Raw genomic sequence first — 17,204 nt, 5'->3', positions numbered from 1 at the left:
ATCAGTTTCCATACAAAGGTGTTTCATACAATCACCTCTGTCGATTTTTTGTATTCAAGTCCTTAAAGAAACTGGAGCAAGAGCATGTGGACCTATCCGTGCTGACTCTCGACTGGGGATTTTCCTGCTGCTCAGGGATCAGGCATTAACTCTTCATGTGTAATCTGCGAAAGCTATGAAATGATCTGGGATTCTCTGATTTCCCTATTAAGAGATGGGGGGGTGGGGTGGAAAAAGAGAGAGAGATAGGGGGCCAGTACCCTCTAGAACACTCCTTCCTATGTCTGCCATTATCCACAGGCCAAGACCTTTTTACCTGCACTCAGCACGAAAGAAATCTGCATTCAGCCCTAAGAGTAGCTGCTTGGGCAGTGATCATAGCTCTGCTTTAAGGATAAGACTCTTATCTGTGACTACAGAAAGAGAAAAGGTTTCTCAAGGTTCTGAGTGCTGATTTCTCTGTGGCAGCCCTAAATTACATTTGAATGTCACCCCCAAAGGAATACACTAAATGACAACAAGCACAGATTCTTGTGAGGATGGATATTTCCCCTTGGACAAATTTCAATCTGTATCTATATATCTTTATACATACTTACCATGAGCCTGTTATGTACTGTGCAGAGCACCAGACCAGGTACCACGGAAGAAAACCGTAAAACAAAATTGGGATCCTATAGGAGCTTAGAATTTAGAAGCTAAGATCTTTTCACATAGAAGTAATAATGATGGAATGAAAAACTAAGTAGAATTTATTCATAGAGTTCTGGAATTTTTGGACTAGAAGTATTGTAAAGATCATTCTCTGTTTTGCAGAGGAGAAAACTGGAGCTCACAGAGTTAGTAGTTTACCTGAGGTCACAAAGTAAATTAGTGGCAGAGCCAGAAATACATCACAGTTATCAAGAGCTTTGTTTATCTTATCACATGTAACAACTATTAAGCATCAATTCCAGGCAAGGCAATGTGTAGCTTGAGATAATACATGTAAAATGCCTAGAACCAAGTCTGGAACTATTAGCTGTCATCATTATCACAATCATCATCATTATCATGGTTAAGAGTACAAATTTTGGTCTTAGCCAGACCTCGATGTGAGTCCCAGTTCTGTCACTTATTGTGTAACTGTGGACAAGCTACTTAAGTCCCAGTTTCTTTATTTATAAAATGAGAATAAAAATATCAACTTCATAGGATAATTGTGAGGATTTAATTAGATAGTATGTATAAAGTGCTTCAAATATCACCTAGCATGTTGAAACTGTTCAAATATTAGCTGTTCCATTGTGAACAGCTGACCTATGTACACAGGGAGTCAAACAAAGACACACATATAGCATATTGATGGAACTTCTCTTTGAGCTGACAAAAAAGGAAGCCAGTCAGTTAACAACATTTACTGAGTTTTCACTGTATACAGGTATCAGTACACAGTCATGTGGAACAAAGAAAGTAAGAGAAGAAATGCTATTTTGGATGTTATAATATATAAACTATTTATCATTCACAACAAATACACACCAACTACCTACACAGTGATGAATAAGACTGAGTTTCTGCAAAGAGCTAGTCTAGTGGAAGCAGCAGCAAGAAATTAGGCCATTATGACATGGAGTGATGTACACATTGCAGAGCTAGGGCTGAGAGCTATGGAAGGTTATGAAAGGGCATCTAATCCACTAACGGTGGAGGTAGGGAAGGAAGTGTCAGGGAAAGTTCCTCAAATGAAAGAATAAGGAGTTGTCCAAAGATGAGAAGAGTTGAATATAGCCTAAAGCAACAAACCTGCTGTGGTGAGTACTCTGGACTGGCTCTGGCTCTCAGCCATTCCAATCTTCTAGTGTGCTTTCTTTGAATACAGAGGTTAAAGAAGGAAAAGACACATTTCCCTCATGTCCTGCAGGTAGGGTTATGCTTCTGCCAATTAGATACACTTGGAAGGTGGATCCTAGGCTACAGTTATGTTTTGTTTCTGCTGGAAAACTAGTTGTAGACACATTGGGTATTTCTGCAGCAGTATTTCAGTGTCTAGGTCCTACCCCTGTGCCTGTTTAGAGGAAGTAGCAGGGGCAGCAGTGGCCTCTTGATCCTTGGATCACAGGTACAGCAGTATGTCTTTGAACTCAACACTCCACTGGAGGTCTCTGCCTGCCTGCCTTTCTGATTATTGCAGAGATGGCAGCTCCTCAGTAGACCATCCAGCAGACTTGCTCTAGGAATCATTTCTGGAGGCCTGCTAAGTGACCATTCCTTTAGACTTCCCAATGATTTTATAAGCTCCTGATACCCTGCATTAAATTCATTTTTGCTGAAAATAGTTTGAGTGGTTCTTTTTCTTACACCTAATACATCAGCAGAATACAAAAAATTCAAAATGTGATATATAGTTTTCAGGGGTCAGCAAACTAGCAAACTTTTCCTGCAAAGAGCCAGGAGTGTAAATATTTTAAATTTTGTGAGCCACATATGATTTCTTCTCCTCCTTCCTCCTTTTCTTCCTTCCTCCTCCTCTTCTTCCTCTTCTTTTAAAATAACCCTTTAAAAATAAAAAAACCATTCTCAAACCCTGCAAGCCAGATTTAGCCCATGAGCTATAGTTTGCTGACCCTTGATAGAGTGTTGATGAGATGTGAAAGAACATGATGAAATGTCAAAGAACTAAAATACTGAAGGAAAATAGCTCATATTTTTAAAAACAAGATATTTTTAATGAGGCCAGGTGCAGTGGCTCACTCCTGTAATCCCAGCACTTTGGGAGGCCGAGGCGGGCAGATAACTTGAGGTTAGGAGTTCAAGACCATCCTGGCCAACATGGTGAAACCCTGTCTCTACTTAAAAAACACAAAAATTAGCCGGGCGTGGTGGCATGCACCTGTAGTCCCAGCTACTTGGGAGTCTGAGGCAGGAGAATCACTTGAACCTGGGAGGTGGAAGTAGCACTGAGCCGAGATCACACCACTGCACTCCAGCCTGGGTGACAGAGTGAGACCCTGTCTCAAAAAAAAAAAAAAAAAAAGAAAAAAGGAAAAAATGTTTAAGATATGTTTAATGATGTTACCACACTAAGACACACAACAAATCCTGGGGTGGGATCAACAGTTGATGAGAGGAGGCAACAGAATTCAGGTAAATAAACGGTCCCTTGCCTACCCAACTTTGATGCCTAGTTCATTAAAAAAATTACTTTATTATGGTAAAAAAAACACTACAGTTCAGTAATGTTATGCATATTCACACAGCTGTGCAGCAGATCTCCAGAACCTTTTCATTGTGTAAAACTGAAACTCTACATCCATTAAACAACTCCCCATTTTCCCCTTCCAGCCAGTCCCTGGTAACCATTATTCAACTCTGTTTCTATTAATTTGACTACTCTAGTTACTACATATAAGTGACATAATATATGTCTTTTTGTGACCGGCTTATTTCACTCAGCATAATATCCTCAAGGTTCACACATGCAGTATATAACAGGATTTCCTCCCTTTTAAGGCTGAATAATATTCCACTGTATGTATGTAACATTTTTCTTCATTCATTCCTTCCTTGATGGACATTTGGGCTGCTTCCACCTCTTGGCTATTGCAAATAATGCTGTTATGAACATGGGTGTAGGAACCTCTCTTCAAGATCTTGCTTTCAATTCTTTTAGATAATTATCCAGAAGTATAATTGCTGGTGGTTCTATTTTTAATTTTTTGAGGAACCTCTACATTTTTTTCCACAACAGCTGCACCATTTTACATTCCTACCAACAGTGCATGAAGGTTCCAATTTCTCCACATCCATGCCAACACCTGTTTTTTTTTTTTTTTTGACTAGCCTAATAGATGTGAGGCAGTACCTAATTGTAGTTTTGATTTGCATTTCCCTAATGATTAGTAATCTTGAGTATTTATGTTCTCATATGCTTGTTGGCCATTTGTATATCTTCTTTACATAAAAGTCTATTCAAGTCTTCTGCTCATTTTAAAATTAGGGCTCTTTTTGTTGAGCTGCAAGAGTTATTTTTATATTCTAGCTATTGAGCTCTTATCAGATACAGAATCTCAAATATTTTCTCCCCTTCTGTAGGTTGCTTTTCACTCTGTTGATTGTGCTAGTCCAGTTTTAATCTTTGCCCATGAATGAAAGTCTAGTCTGGAGCAAACTGCTGGCAGTCTGGCCAGGTCTGGAGCTGTCTTCTGTCCCAAAGACACTAGTGGTAATGAGTCAAAACATCTGTCTTGGATACTTCAGATTTGGATATTCTGATCCTCTACAATATCCAAAAGCATTCCCATATCTTTGCTTTGAGCCAGAACCAGCCAACTCAAGGTTTCTGGGGCCGTAGAATTAGAAGCAGCCTCAAGACTGGGTAAGTGGGAGATATGGAGGTGGACTCATTAGATTCAGATTTGCATTATTAAGTGTCTGCCACTAGAACGCTGAAATCAAACAATTGCAATAAATATTTTTCAATTCACTATTGTTCCTTTTTGCTTCAAATGGTAGTCAGTTCAGTTTCTTTGATGCTTCATGCTTATGCTGAGGAAATAAAACATCCCAACCCTGGAGACCTGAATGATTCCAAGGAAGTACATGGAGAGTTAATCCAAGGCTTGGTCTAGAATGCAACTCAGTTCACACAAAACTTGCTCCAGAAAAACCTTGACGATTCTGTACAAGTGGATATGAACACTACGGAATGGTGCATTTGCTAAAACATCCTATTTGAAGAGATAAGGTTCTGACTTACAAAAGGTCTATTTCCTCTTCCAACCACTACTGCCTTTTCGAAGTACACAACTGGAGAAGCTGAATAGGTTGGCTTGTCAATATTGACGAGATTTTTAAAAGCCTAAAAAAATTTATGGAAAATGACTGATTGCCTCACTGTCAAAATTCTTATGCCTGTTGAGATTTATCCTTGGATAAAATTATTTATCCAAGATTGCTTATGGAAACAGAAAATTTCAGAAAGCCTTATGTGCATTATTTTTCTGGTTCCCACAAGAAAAATAAAATGGGAGAGAAGGTTAGGGACAGAGCTGCACAAGTTCAAGCAGAAAATATGCTGAAAATGTAGGGTCCTAATTCCCTGACTTTTATGTTAAGTTGTTGCTATTCAAGTACTTACATACAATGATGTTTATCACTGCATACTTCAAATTATGAATGTAAGGAATAGTGACATTTAAGCTGCCAAACACAGTAGATTAAAAAAATACTTAGTTTACTCATCATATCAAGAAATCCAGAGATAGGCGGTTGCTGGCATTGGTTTAAATGTTCAGTGATTTTGTCAAAGCCAAGTATCTAATTTCTTTTCTCTCATGGATGAAAAAGGGGTACGATAGCTCTGAACATCTCATTCCTTACCAAGAAGAAATAGTTAAGAGATGATACCAGCTTTGGCTGTCCCATTTTATCTGGAAGGCAAAATGTTTCCTGGAACTTCCCCCTCAACTCTCACAAAACTTGAGCTTATTTCTCAATGGCTGGAACTTGTAAGTGAGGCTACAAAACTAAATATTCCTAGATATTGTAGAGGTAGGTTAGTGAGAAGCGATTTGGGAATGGGTGCTTCTCTGCTAAGTTTTAGGGTTGGCCACAGAAAAACCAGGAAATATCAAAATATCCAACAATACAAGATTGACTGAGTGTCACGTGCCATATGAATCCCAGGTGGCTGTTAAAAATTGTGTTGTGAGCCAGGTGTGGTAGCTCACACCTGTAATCCCAGCACTTTGGGAGCCTGAGGAGGGCGGATCACATGAGGCCAGGAGTTTGAGACCAGCCTGGGCAACATGGCGAAACCCCATCTCTACTAAAAATACAAAAATTAGCCGGGCGTGCTGGTGCATGCCTGTAATCCCAGCTACTCACATACTCATGTGGCCGAGGCATGAGAATTACTTGAACCTGGAGGTTGTGGTGAGCTGAGATCATGCCACTGCACTCCAGCCTGGGCGACAGAGCAAGATCCCATCTAGAAAAAAAAATACTGTTGCAGATAGTTACATGCTAAATTATCTATAAAGTATTATCAACTAAACATTTAATATAAAATAATAAGAAAATTTCAAATGTTTTAGAGCAAAATAAATACATATTTAAAAATTTTTAATGGACAGATGCAAAAAGAAAAAAATGGAACTTATATTCCAAAAATGTTGACTTCAGTTGAGTTTTTCAGGAAATAGACTCTGAAGCAGAGGTTTGTATGCAGGTGATTTACTGGTGAGAACGCTCAGGAACAGCATCTGTTAAGGGAAGCAGGGGCAGGATTGGGCAGAGGGGGAGGGTGAATTGCAGGGCAGTTGCCACAGAGGCTTTAACTTGTCTCATGGGACACTCTAAAGCTGGGATATCCCAGATTGTGCCAATTGACTTGATGCCTTTGTACCTCCACAACTGACCAGTCGTTGGATTTGAGCTGACCCAAGGAGGGGAATATTGGGTGAGGCAATATTTCCCTCACTGAAGACAATTTTAGAGAGGAATTAAACTATGAGCCAGCAACAGCCAACATTCCTGGTAGCTGTATCTTGGGATCTGGGCAGCATACCACAGCATCCACTAGAAATGTCAACAGTGGTTATCTAAGTTTGGGGATTAATATGCTTTATTTTTCTATATGCTTTATTTTCTTTATATGCTTTATTTTTCCAAATTTTTCTATATATGCTTTATGTCTTCCAAATTTTTCACAATAAACACAGCATTGTACTAAGGATTAAATGAGTCAATTCATGTAAATCACTTAGCACAACTCCTATAATTTACGAAATATTCAATATATTTATAAATGATTATTTTGTATTTAGAAAGAAATCTGTATATATAGGTACACACATACATTTCTTTCTAAATTCAAAATAATCATAGGTAAATTTATTGAGTACTTAATGTATATACATATATAATTTAAAAAGAAAACATAAATATATACATTGTCAAAAAATGAAAGTGTGAAAAAGGATTTAAAATAACACATGGATCTTGCTATTCATTTTAGTTTATTTTGGTTTATCTGATCTGTGAAAGTCTTTCTTATAACATTGTTTCTTTCTAGCATATTCCAATAGAAAGTTCTGTGATGATGAAAATTTCTGTATCTGTGCTGTCCAATATGGCAGTCACTAGCCACAGGAGGCTACTGAACGTTTGAAATGTGACTAGCACAACTGAGGAAGTACATTTTTAAGATTTTATTTCATTTTAAATTCATTTAAAATGTAAATAGCCACATGTTGCTGGTGGCTACCATATCTGACAGTATGGCTTTAGACCAACACTGGGCAATGGTTATTTAGAGAACAGATTTAAAATATTATTTCTCTCTTGAAGCTTGGATTAGTTTCTTCCTCCATTGCTCTATATAATTCCCTAACCTTGATTTTAAAATCTCATTATAATTAGGTATGTAGAAAAACAAAATGGGAAGAGCTAATTAAGTGTAAATAAGAGTGTGTTTATGTGTGAGTGTTGTCAAATGAAAGGAAAAGTAATTTAGTTGAAAGTAAGATGTTGGCCAGGCATGGTGGCTAACGCCTGTAATCCCAGCACTTTGGGAGTCTGAGCGCATGGATCACTTGACGTCAGGAGTTTGTAACCAGCCTGGCCAACATGGTGAAACCCTGTCTCTACTAAAAATACAAAAATTAGCTGGGCGTGGTAGTGCATGCCTGTAATCCCAGCTACTCAGGAGGTTGAAGCAGGAGAATTGCTTGAACCCAGGAGACAGAGGTTGCAGTGAGCCGAGACCATGCCACTGCATCCAGCCTGGGTGACAGAGTGAAACTCTGTCTCAAAAAAAAAAAAATGTAATAATGTATTGCTAATTGTGTGGTACTTTTGGCAAATGATCTGAAAAAAAAAAAAAATGAAAACGTTTGTTCTGTGTCAAATATTTGATTCTTGGTAAGCCAAAGAAGACTTCTCCCTGAAACAGTATCTTTCAATCACACTGTTGATACAGTAAGAAAGATAACTGCAGAAACAATTTGACATTGCCTGAATAACAAGTGGAAATCTCTTACTACTCAGGTGGGAGGCCTGTGTGTGTGTGGACAACTCACTAACAGCAGCCAGGTTTACGGAGGAAAGCTACACAAACCTTGGTTTGCATCTTAGCCTTATTAGTTACTAGTTCTGTGTATTTGGACAAGTTACTTAATTTTTTGGAGCCCCCATTTCTTCATAATCAAGTGGTTAAAAGTACACCTACCTTGAAGACTTACAAGAAGATAAGTCATATATAAAGCACTTGGCCGGGCGTGGTGGCTCATGCCTGTAATTCTAACACTTTGGGACACCACGGCGGGAGGACTGCTTGAGCTCAGGAGTTCAAGATCAGCCTGGGCATCATAGTGAGACCTCATCTCAAAGACTAAGAAAACACTATATTAAAAGATGTATAAAGTACTTGGCACATAGTAAGTGCTGTATCAATGATAGTTTTACTGTTAGTGTCACATCCAGAAAATTGATCGGGAAAAGGGAAGTAAGCCCAAATAATATCAACTTTAGGTAGTAATTAACTGGCATAATCACAAACTGTAAAATCATTTTTGGAATATGTTACTTTGTATATATTGGCCACAAATGAAATTTCATCCAAGCCAGTACAGTGGCTCATGCCTGTAATCCCAGAACTTTGGAAGGCTGAGGTGGAAGGACTGCTTGAGGCCAGGAGTTTAAGACAAGCCTGGGCAACATAGCAAGACCCTAGCTCTAAAAAATAAAATTTAAAAATCAGCCAGGCACGATGACATGTGCCTATAGTCCTAGCTACAGAGGAGGCTGAAGCAGGATCAGGATCACTTGAGCCCAGGAGCGAGGCTGCAGTGAGCTATGATTACAGCACTGCGCTCCAGCCTGGGTGACAGAGCAAGACCTCGTCTCTAAAAACATTTTAAATGTAGTCCATTGTTTATTGAATAAATGAAAGAATGAATGCCTTGCTTTGTTCTTAAAGTCCTTTTGTCCCCAAAATGGGTTGTTATAACTAAAATGTTTTTTTCACTGGCATTGTCACGAGGGTTATTTTCAAAGACCTCTGAAGAGCAATACCAAATCAATGGTCTTGAGCAGAGTTGTTTTTCTAGACTTAAGAGAGGTTTTGCCAGAAATTAAGAAACAGTTTCTTGAGTAATAAAATATTACTGAAGGAGCAGTTAAGGCTTCCATCCTTACATATTTTTAGAAGACAAATAATTCTCTATGCTGAAAATGTCATCACCTGTGGAAGCCAGCCTCTAGGATAACCTCCAGGGATGCTTGCTTCCTAGCATTCAGGTGCTTCACTAGTCTCCTGCTCAAATTCAGTCGAGGGTGGCTCTGAATATGGCAGAGGTGATGTGTGAATTCTGAGGCTAAGTGATAAAAGGCATTGCAGCTCCTGCTTTGGTCTCTGAACCACTTGCTCCAGGATAAGCCAGTGACCATGCTGTGAGGCCACTCAAGCCGTCCTGTGGAGAGCCCCGTGTGGCCAATAGCTCATGCCAAGCTGCCAAGAATGTGAAAGAGCCACTGTGGAAGGGGATTCTCCAGCTCCAGACCAGACTTTAGATGACTACAACCCTTGCCAACATCTGACTGAAACTTTATAAGAGACTGACATAGAACCGCCCAACTGATCTACTTTTGAATTCCCAACTCACAGAAATTGTGAGAGATAATAAATGATTTTTATTGTTTTAAGCCACTATGTTTTGGGGTTATTCATTATGCAGCAATAGATATCTAATATGTTACCAATAACAAATAATGAGCCAGGTGTGGTGGCTCATGACTGTAATCCCAGCACTTTGGAAGGCCAAGGCAGGAGGATCACTTGTGTCCAGGAGTTTGACACCAGCCTGGGCAACATAGCAAGACCCTGTCCCTAAAAAAATAAAAATAAACAAATAGTTATTGCTGCTATACAAAATACCCTGCTCATGGGCTGAACCATTCAAAGTAACTTCTCACATTATAACTTTAACGTTTTAACGGCTTGACATGACATTAACACTATGTATTTTCTTATATCATTCTTATGAGACAAGAAGAATCAGTCAATTAAATATTTAATGAACATCTGTTAAGTTCAAGGTAGTACTCTAATTTGTAGAAACATACAATTTACCAAGACTGAATCACAAAGACACAGAAAATCTGAACAGACCAATTATGAGTAAGGAGATTGATCCAGTAACCAAAAACTTCCCAATAGAGAAAAACCCAGCAATATTCTGGCTTGTTTTCAGGTCACATAAATTTTTCACCTTTTACTCAAGATTCCTATGGAGAGGAAAGACTCTGACTTTTTAGCTAATTTTTTGAGGTCTTCCTTTGGCAGGGCTAGTAAAAAACAAAAAAGAAAGGAAAGGAAAAAAAAAAGAAAAGCCCAGACCAGATAGCTTCATGGGTGAATTCTACCAAGCATTTAAAACTGAAGAGAAAGGAACACTTCCAAACTCATTTTATGTGGCCAGCATTACCCTCACATCAAAGCCAGATAAAGATAACTACAAAGAAAAGAAAATTATAGGTCAATATCCCTGACTTCTGGCTCTACAGGCAAAAATCCTCAACAAAATATTAGCAAACAAAATTCAATGCCACATTAGAAGTATCATACACTAAGATCAAGTAGGATTTATTCCTGAGATGCAAGGATAGTTCAACATAGGCAAATCAACTAATGCAATATTTCACATTAACTAAACAAAGTATAAAAATCATATGATCAATTCAGTAGATGCAAGAAAAAGCATTTAATAATATTCAACATCTTTCATGATAAAAACTCTCAACAATTTAAAGAAGGAATATACCAGAGTAATTAGGCAAGAAAAAGAAATAAAAGTCATCCAAATCAGAAAAGAAGTTAAATTATCTCTGCATATGACATAATCTGATATATAGAAAACCCACCTGGGCACAGTGGCTCACGCCCATAATTCCAGCGCTTTGGAAAGTCGACGCAGGAGGATTGCTTGAGCTTAGCGGTTTGAGATCATCCTAGGCAACACAGCGGCACCTGTCTCTACAAAAAATAAAAAAATTAGCCGAGTGTGGTGGCGTGGGCCTGTAGTCCCAGCTACTTCAGAGGCTGAGGTGGGAGGATTGCCTAAGCCCAGGAGGTTAAAGCTGCAGTGAGCTGTGATTATGCTACTGCACTCTAGTCTGGATGACAGAGCGAGACCCTGTCTCAAAAGAAAGAGAGAGAGAGAGAGAAAGAGATTGAAAAGGAAGGAAGGAAGGAGAAAGAAAGAAAGAGAAAGAAAGAAAGAGAGAAAGAAAGAAAGAGGGAAAGAAAGAAGGAAAGAAATTAGAACAAACCAATTCAGCAAAGTTGCAGGATACAAAATCAACAAATGAAAATTGGTTGCATTTCTACACACTAACAATAAACTACCTAAAAAAGAAATTAAGAAAACATCTCATTTATAATTGCATCAAAAACAATACAATAATTACGAATAAATTTAACCAAGGAGGTGAAAAATCTGTACGCTAAAAACAATAAGACATTGATGAAAGAAAATGAAGATACAAATAAAGATATGTTCACAGATTGAAGAATTAGTATTGTTAAAATATCTATACTCCCCAAAGCAGTCTAGATTCAATGTGATCTCTATCAAACTTCCAATGGCATTTTTTTCATAGAAATAAACAATCCCAAAATTCATATGGAACCACAAAAGTCCTCACATAATCAAGACAATCTGGTTTTTTTTTTTTTTTTTGAGATAGAGTCTCGCTCTGTTGCCCAGGCTGGAGTGCAGTGGCGCAATCTCGGCTCACTGCAAGTTCCGCCTCCCGGGTTCATGCCATTCTCCTGCCTCAGCCTCCTGAGGAGCTAGGATTACAGGCACCCATCACCACACCTGGCTAATTTTTTTGTATTTTTAGTAGAGACACAGTTTCACTGTGTTAGCCAGGATGGTCTCGATCTTCTGACCTCATGATCTGCCCACCTCAGCCTCCCAAAGTGCTGGGATTACAGGCGTGAGCCACCGCACCTGGCCAATCAAGGCAATCTTGAGAAACAACAACAAAGCTAGAGATATCACACTCCCTGTTTTCAAATTATATTACAGAGCTATTCTAATCAAAACAGTGTAGTACTGGCATAAAAACAGACAGAGACCAATGGAAAAGAATACAGAGCTTAAAAATAAACCCACACATATATGGTCAACTAATCTTTGACATGGGCATCCAGAATACACAATAGGTAAAGGATGGTCTCTTCAATAAATAGTGTTGGAAAAACTAGGTATCTAAGGTAGATTACCTGCAAAAGGGTAAAATTATACCCTTACTTTACACCCTCCACAAAAATTATATTGAAATGGGTTAAAGACTTAAATATCAGACCTGAAATTATAAAACTCCTAGAAAAAAATATAAGGGGAAAGCCACTTGCCATTGGTCTTGGCAATGATTTTTCAGATATGCACCCAAAGTATAGGCAACAGAAGCAAAAATAAACAAGTTGGACTACATCAAACTAAAAAGCTTCTGCATAGCAAAGGAAACAATCAACAAAATGAAAGGGTAACCTATGCAATGGGAGAAAATATTTGCAAACCATATATCTGGTAAGGAGTTAATATCCAAAATACGTAAGGAACTCATACAACTCAAGAGCAAGAAAACAAATTGCCCAATTAAAAATTGGGCAAAGGATGCGAATAGACAGTTTTCCAAAGCAGACATAAAAATAGCCAACAGATACATTAAAACAAACTCAACATAACTAATCATCATGAAAATGCAAGTCAAAACCATAAGATATCACCTCACACCTGTTAGAATGGCTATTATCGAAAAAATGGCCAGGCGGGGTGGCTCATGCCTGTAATTCCAGCACTTTGGGAGGCTGAGGTGGGAGGACCGCTTGACACTAAAAGTTTGAGACCAGCCTAAGCAACACAGCAAGACTGTCTCTATTAAAAAAAAAAAAAAAAGGATAAGCAATAACAAGTGTTGCTGAGGGTGTAGAGAAACAGGAACCCTTGTACACTGCTGGTGGGAATATAAATTGATACAGCCATTACAGAAAAATAGTATGGAGGTTCCTCAAAAAATTAAAAATAGAACTATCATACGATCCAGCAATTCCACTTCTGCATTTATATCCAAAGGATTACTCACAATAGTCAAGATACAGAAACAATGTGTCTGTCAATGAGTGAAGAGATAAACAAAATGTAGTAAATACAAGACAATGGAATACTTACCCATAAAAAGTAAGGAAATTCTGACATTTGTGACAACATGGATAAACCTGGAGGATGTTACATTAAGTGAAATAAGCCAGACACAGAAAGACTAATATTCTATGACCTCACTTATATGGCGAATCTAAAAAAGTTGAACTCATAGAAGCAGAGAGTAGAATCATGATTGCCAGGGTCTTGGGGGTGGGGAAAATGGGGAGATGTTTATTGCACATTTATCAGCAATTAAAATGTTTCTTTTGGGAGCTAACCTATGAGAATGCAAAGGCATAAGCATGATATAATGGACTTTGGGGACTCGCAGGGAAGGTTGGGAGAGGGGTGAGAGATAACAGACCACACACTGGGTATAGTGTACACTGCTCAGGTGATAGGTGCACCAAAACTCTCAGAAATCAGTACTACAGAGCTTATTCCTATAGAAACCACCTGTACCCCCAAAACCATTGAAATAAAATTAAACAGTTTCTTTTGCTAGTTTGGTAGATGAAACATAGAATATAGTTTATTTTGCATTTCTTTGATTACTAGTGAGGTTGAGCATTAAAAAAGAATTACTTGAGTTTTATATTTCTTTTGGGACTTATATATTCATGTCCTTTTATTCTTGTTGGTTAGTAAGAGATCTTGATATGTTAAGTACATTAAACCTTTGTCTGACATACATTACAGATATCTTTTTCCCAGGATGTCATTTTTTTTTAATTATTATACTTTAAGTTTCGGGATACATGGGGCAGGTTTGTTACATAGGTATACATGTGCCATGGTGGTTTGCTGCACCCATCAACCCGTCATCTACATTAGGTATTTTATACAGTCAAATCAATCTCATCCTTTTTAAGTTCTTCCAATTCTTTTATATTTAGAAGGTCCTTCTCTATCTTTAGATCAATTAGTCACTTGTATTTTTTCTGGTTTCTGGTTTTGTGTTTTACACTTTTTTTTTCTTCAGGAAACAAGGTGACAGTCTATTTTCCCATGGTTAAGCATATTTCCTTCACTACTAATTGAGTATGTTTCTTCCCCACTAATTTATAATGTCACCTTCATTACCTAAGGAATTCTTATATTATGTGGGTATGTTTATGAGTTTTATAATCTCTTTTATTGTCTATTGGTTTTGGTGATAGTACCACACTTTTTTTTGATTACCTCTATTTATTCATCAAGAATCATCACACTCTCCTCCAGGAAGCCTCCTTAATTCTTCCAAAATGGTATGATTGCTCCCTTCACTCTCTGTCTTTCACCTTTGTCATGTTTAAAAATCTGCCTTGGCCAGGCGCGGTGGCTCACGCCTGCAATCCCAGTACTTTGGGAGGCTGAGGCGGGAGGATCACCTGAGGTCGGGAGTTCCAGACCTGCCTGACCAACATGCAGAAACCCCGTCTCTGCTAAAAATACAAAATTAGCAGGGCGTGGTGGCACATGCCTGTAATCCTAGCTACTCTGGAGGCTGGCCTTAGGCAGGAAAATCACTTGAATCCGGCAGGTGGAGGTTGCAGTGAGCTGAGATGGCTCCACTGCACTCCAGCCTGGGCAACAAGACCAAAACTCTGTCTCAAAAAAAAAAAAAAAAAAAAAATCTTCCTTGAAGCTGGGCGCAGTGGCTCATGCCTGTAATCCCAGCACTTTGGGAGTCCGAGGCGGGCAGACCATTTGAAGTCAGGATTTTAAGACCAGCCTGGCCAACATGGTGTAAACCCCAATTCTGTTAAAAATACGAAAATTAGCCAGGTGTGGTGGCACTGGCCTGTAATCCCAGCTACTCCAGAGGCTGAGGCAGGAGAATCACTAAAGCCTGGAAAGCGGAGGTTGCGGTGAGCCGAGGTCATGCCACTGCACTCCAGCCTGGGGAAAACTCCAGCCTGGGGGAAAGAGTGAGACCCTGTCCAAAAACAAAACAAAATAAAACAACCAAAAAAAAAAAAAACTGCCTTGTATCATTGTTAACAGGGTTGATCTTATCCAATTACATTCTTGAGTATAGGGAACAGGTGCACAATACCTATTCATTAAAATTAGATTAGTGGGATTTCCTTTAAAAGGTAGTGATGATGGCAGAACAGCTCTAGTTTGAGAAAAAACGAAAATAGGCAATTCTCTCATTTGTTCAACAAACATGGCTGCGCCGTCCAATATGAAAAGATTATAACTGTAAGTGAACCCTACTGTACCCTAGGGATCTCACCACTTGGGGAAAGAGATATGTAAATATATGCGATTAAATAGTGTGACTAAGAAGCATAAAATAAGTATGCACAAAGAAGAAAGGAAAAAACTATTGAGTAGTGGGTAGTGTTTCAAAGTAGTGGACATACAAGTATGAGCCGGGTTCATGGGGTTTCTTAAATGCCAAAGGAACTTGTAATTATTCTAAATGACAACGTGCACAATTTACATTAATGTATTCTTCATTCTGGCCAGGGGTGGTGGCTCACACCTGTAATCCCAAAACTTTGGGAGGCTGAGGTGGGAAGATTGCTTGAGCCAGGAGTTTGAGACCAGCCTGGCTAACATGGTGAAACCCTGTTTCTATTAAAAATACGAAAATTAGCCAGGTGTGGTGGCGCTGGCCTGTAATCCCAGCTACTAGGGAGGTTGAGGCAGGAAAATCGTTTGAACTCGGGAGGTGGAGGCTGCAGTGGGCCGAGATCTCACCACTGCACTCCAGTCTGGGCGACAGAGCGAGACTCCGTCTCAAAAAAAAAGAAAAAAAAAAGATAACTTTTTAAGGAAGGTTAATGCAGTTTGGGCCAGGGGCTCTACTTATTAGTTGCAGGGCTAACACAGACCCGGGAGAACTAGAACGGGATACAGGTGAGAGTTAACCGGTGGTGTGTGATGTGATGAAAACTAGGCAATGGGAAGGAGATCAACCTTTACCCGTCAGTCTTCTAATCTCAGCAAATCACTTCCATGAGTTGGTGTAGAAGGTGTCAGGGCTGACTAGGGTCCCTGCTGTGAGTGTGGGCACAACTCCAGGCACTTCCCCATCTCCCAGCCGGCCCAGCGAGGTGCCTGGAGAGCCCAGGCCAGATGTTCTGGCCAGGGCTGACGTCACGTTTGCATGACGTCACCAGCGCTGACGAACCACACAGAGAGGGGCCTGTCAGCTCACCTCAGAGCGCAGGCAACTTCTTAGAGCGGGGAACTGGCCGCCTCCTATTCTACCTTGACGGTCCGAATAGTCAGAGCTACAGGAGCCGAAGCGCCGAAGGAGCTCAGCAACCGCTACCTCCCTCTTTCCTTGGCCCTTATCCGCGTCTTCTCTAAGGCCCAGGAGCGGTCCCGGCAGCGGCGCGCTCACGAGTCCGCCGGTGGAGGCGGTCACGCGCACGCACGCTTGTGCGCAAGCCCGTTCCCTCAGAACCCGGAAGTGCGAGGCCGAGGAGAGCCACGTGGGTCGAGCTGGGGCGCAGCTCGCATGGGGGAGTCTATCCCGCTGGCCGCCCCGGTCCCGGTGGAACAGGCGGTGCTGGAGACGTTCTTCTCTCACCTGGGTATCTTCTCTTACGACAAGGCTAAGGACAATGTGGAGAAGGAACGAGAGGCCAACAAGAGCGCGGGGGGCAGCTGGCTGTCGCTGCTGGCGGCCTTGGCGCACCTGGCCGCGGCCGAGAAGGTCTATCACAGCCTCACCTACCTGGGGCAGAAACTAGGTACCTCCGCCCCGCCCCCCGAGCCCCTTGAGGAGGAAGTAAAGGGGGTATATTCCCCAGTCGGCAGTGGCTTGGGTTTCCCGTCTCTGTGTCACTTCTAGTCGCAGGCTCGACTCGGCATTCCCAGATCTCCTCCCACCGTTCCTTTCCTTCCCTGGGCTTCCACAAGCCCCGCCCACCGGCCTGCGCTGCTGATAGATTGGCGAACTGGGTAGATGCTCTTTGCAGGGCTGTGACCCAAACCGAAGGGTTTGCCCTTTTGCCTCGTGCATGGATTGATGCCATAAATGAGAAGTTAACCAAACTATGTCTTCAT

General features: G+C 40.3%; 1 protein-coding gene, 1 long non-coding RNA gene and 1 pseudogene across 4 annotated transcripts in view, besides 6 other annotated features; 2 read left to right on the top strand and 1 right to left on the bottom strand.

The window, feature by feature from the left end:
• Positions 1-9,652: 9,652 nt before the first annotated feature.
• On the bottom strand, positions 9,653-16,542 carry LOC124902952 (uncharacterized). The gene is made up of 2 exons (XR_007063347.1): positions 16,348-16,542; positions 9,653-11,017 (listed from the first exon to the last, which is right to left on the bottom strand). It is a non-coding gene; the product is annotated as an uncharacterized LOC124902952 (long non-coding RNA).
• Positions 10,216-10,331, top strand: RNU5A-7P (RNA, U5A small nuclear 7, pseudogene; annotated as a pseudogene).
• Positions 16,142-16,201: an enhancer, noted in NCBI's record as "active region_6591". NCBI's record gives its function as "activates an Ori minimal core promoter by ATAC-STARR-seq in GM12878 lymphoblastoid cells {active_cell/tissue: GM12878}" and the evidence as "EXISTENCE:reporter gene assay evidence [ECO:0000049][PMID:35858748]".
• Positions 16,193-16,787: an enhancer, noted in NCBI's record as "H3K27ac hESC enhancer chr12:64615884-64616478 (GRCh37/hg19 assembly coordinates)". NCBI's record gives its function as "activates a minimal SCP1, AML or CMV promoter by ChIP-STARR-seq in naive H9 embryonic stem cells {active_cell/tissue: H9 hESC(naive)}" and the evidence as "EXISTENCE:reporter gene assay evidence [ECO:0000049][PMID:30033119]".
• Positions 16,282-16,471: an enhancer, noted in NCBI's record as "active region_6590". NCBI's record gives its function as "activates an Ori minimal core promoter by ATAC-STARR-seq in GM12878 lymphoblastoid cells {active_cell/tissue: GM12878}" and the evidence as "EXISTENCE:reporter gene assay evidence [ECO:0000049][PMID:35858748]".
• Positions 16,595-17,204, top strand: part of KICS2 (KICSTOR subunit 2) — a 35,981-nt gene continuing 35,371 nt past the window's right edge. For 2 of the 3 annotated variants that reach the window (NM_001300940.2, NM_152440.5), the window contains exon 1: positions 16,595-16,888. In NM_001300940.2, the coding sequence (NP_001287869.2) occupies positions 16,654-16,888 (235 nt within the window). In that variant the 5' untranslated portion in view covers positions 16,595-16,653. The remainder of the gene's footprint in view (positions 16,889-17,204) is intronic. The other variant, NM_001300941.2, reaches the window with a different exon arrangement.
• Positions 16,622-16,711: an enhancer, noted in NCBI's record as "active region_6589". NCBI's record gives its function as "activates an Ori minimal core promoter by ATAC-STARR-seq in GM12878 lymphoblastoid cells {active_cell/tissue: GM12878}" and the evidence as "EXISTENCE:reporter gene assay evidence [ECO:0000049][PMID:35858748]".
• Positions 16,822-16,881: an enhancer, noted in NCBI's record as "active region_6588". NCBI's record gives its function as "activates an Ori minimal core promoter by ATAC-STARR-seq in GM12878 lymphoblastoid cells {active_cell/tissue: GM12878}" and the evidence as "EXISTENCE:reporter gene assay evidence [ECO:0000049][PMID:35858748]".
• Positions 16,952-17,071: an enhancer, noted in NCBI's record as "active region_6587". NCBI's record gives its function as "activates an Ori minimal core promoter by ATAC-STARR-seq in GM12878 lymphoblastoid cells {active_cell/tissue: GM12878}" and the evidence as "EXISTENCE:reporter gene assay evidence [ECO:0000049][PMID:35858748]".

The sequence above is a fragment of the Homo sapiens genome, chromosome 12 (assembly GCF_000001405.40).
Source record: "Homo sapiens chromosome 12, GRCh38.p14 Primary Assembly".
Lineage (NCBI taxonomy): Eukaryota > Metazoa > Chordata > Mammalia > Primates > Hominidae > Homo > Homo sapiens.
Note: the sequence above shows the minus strand (reverse complement) of the source record. Positions and strands in the feature narration are given on the sequence as shown.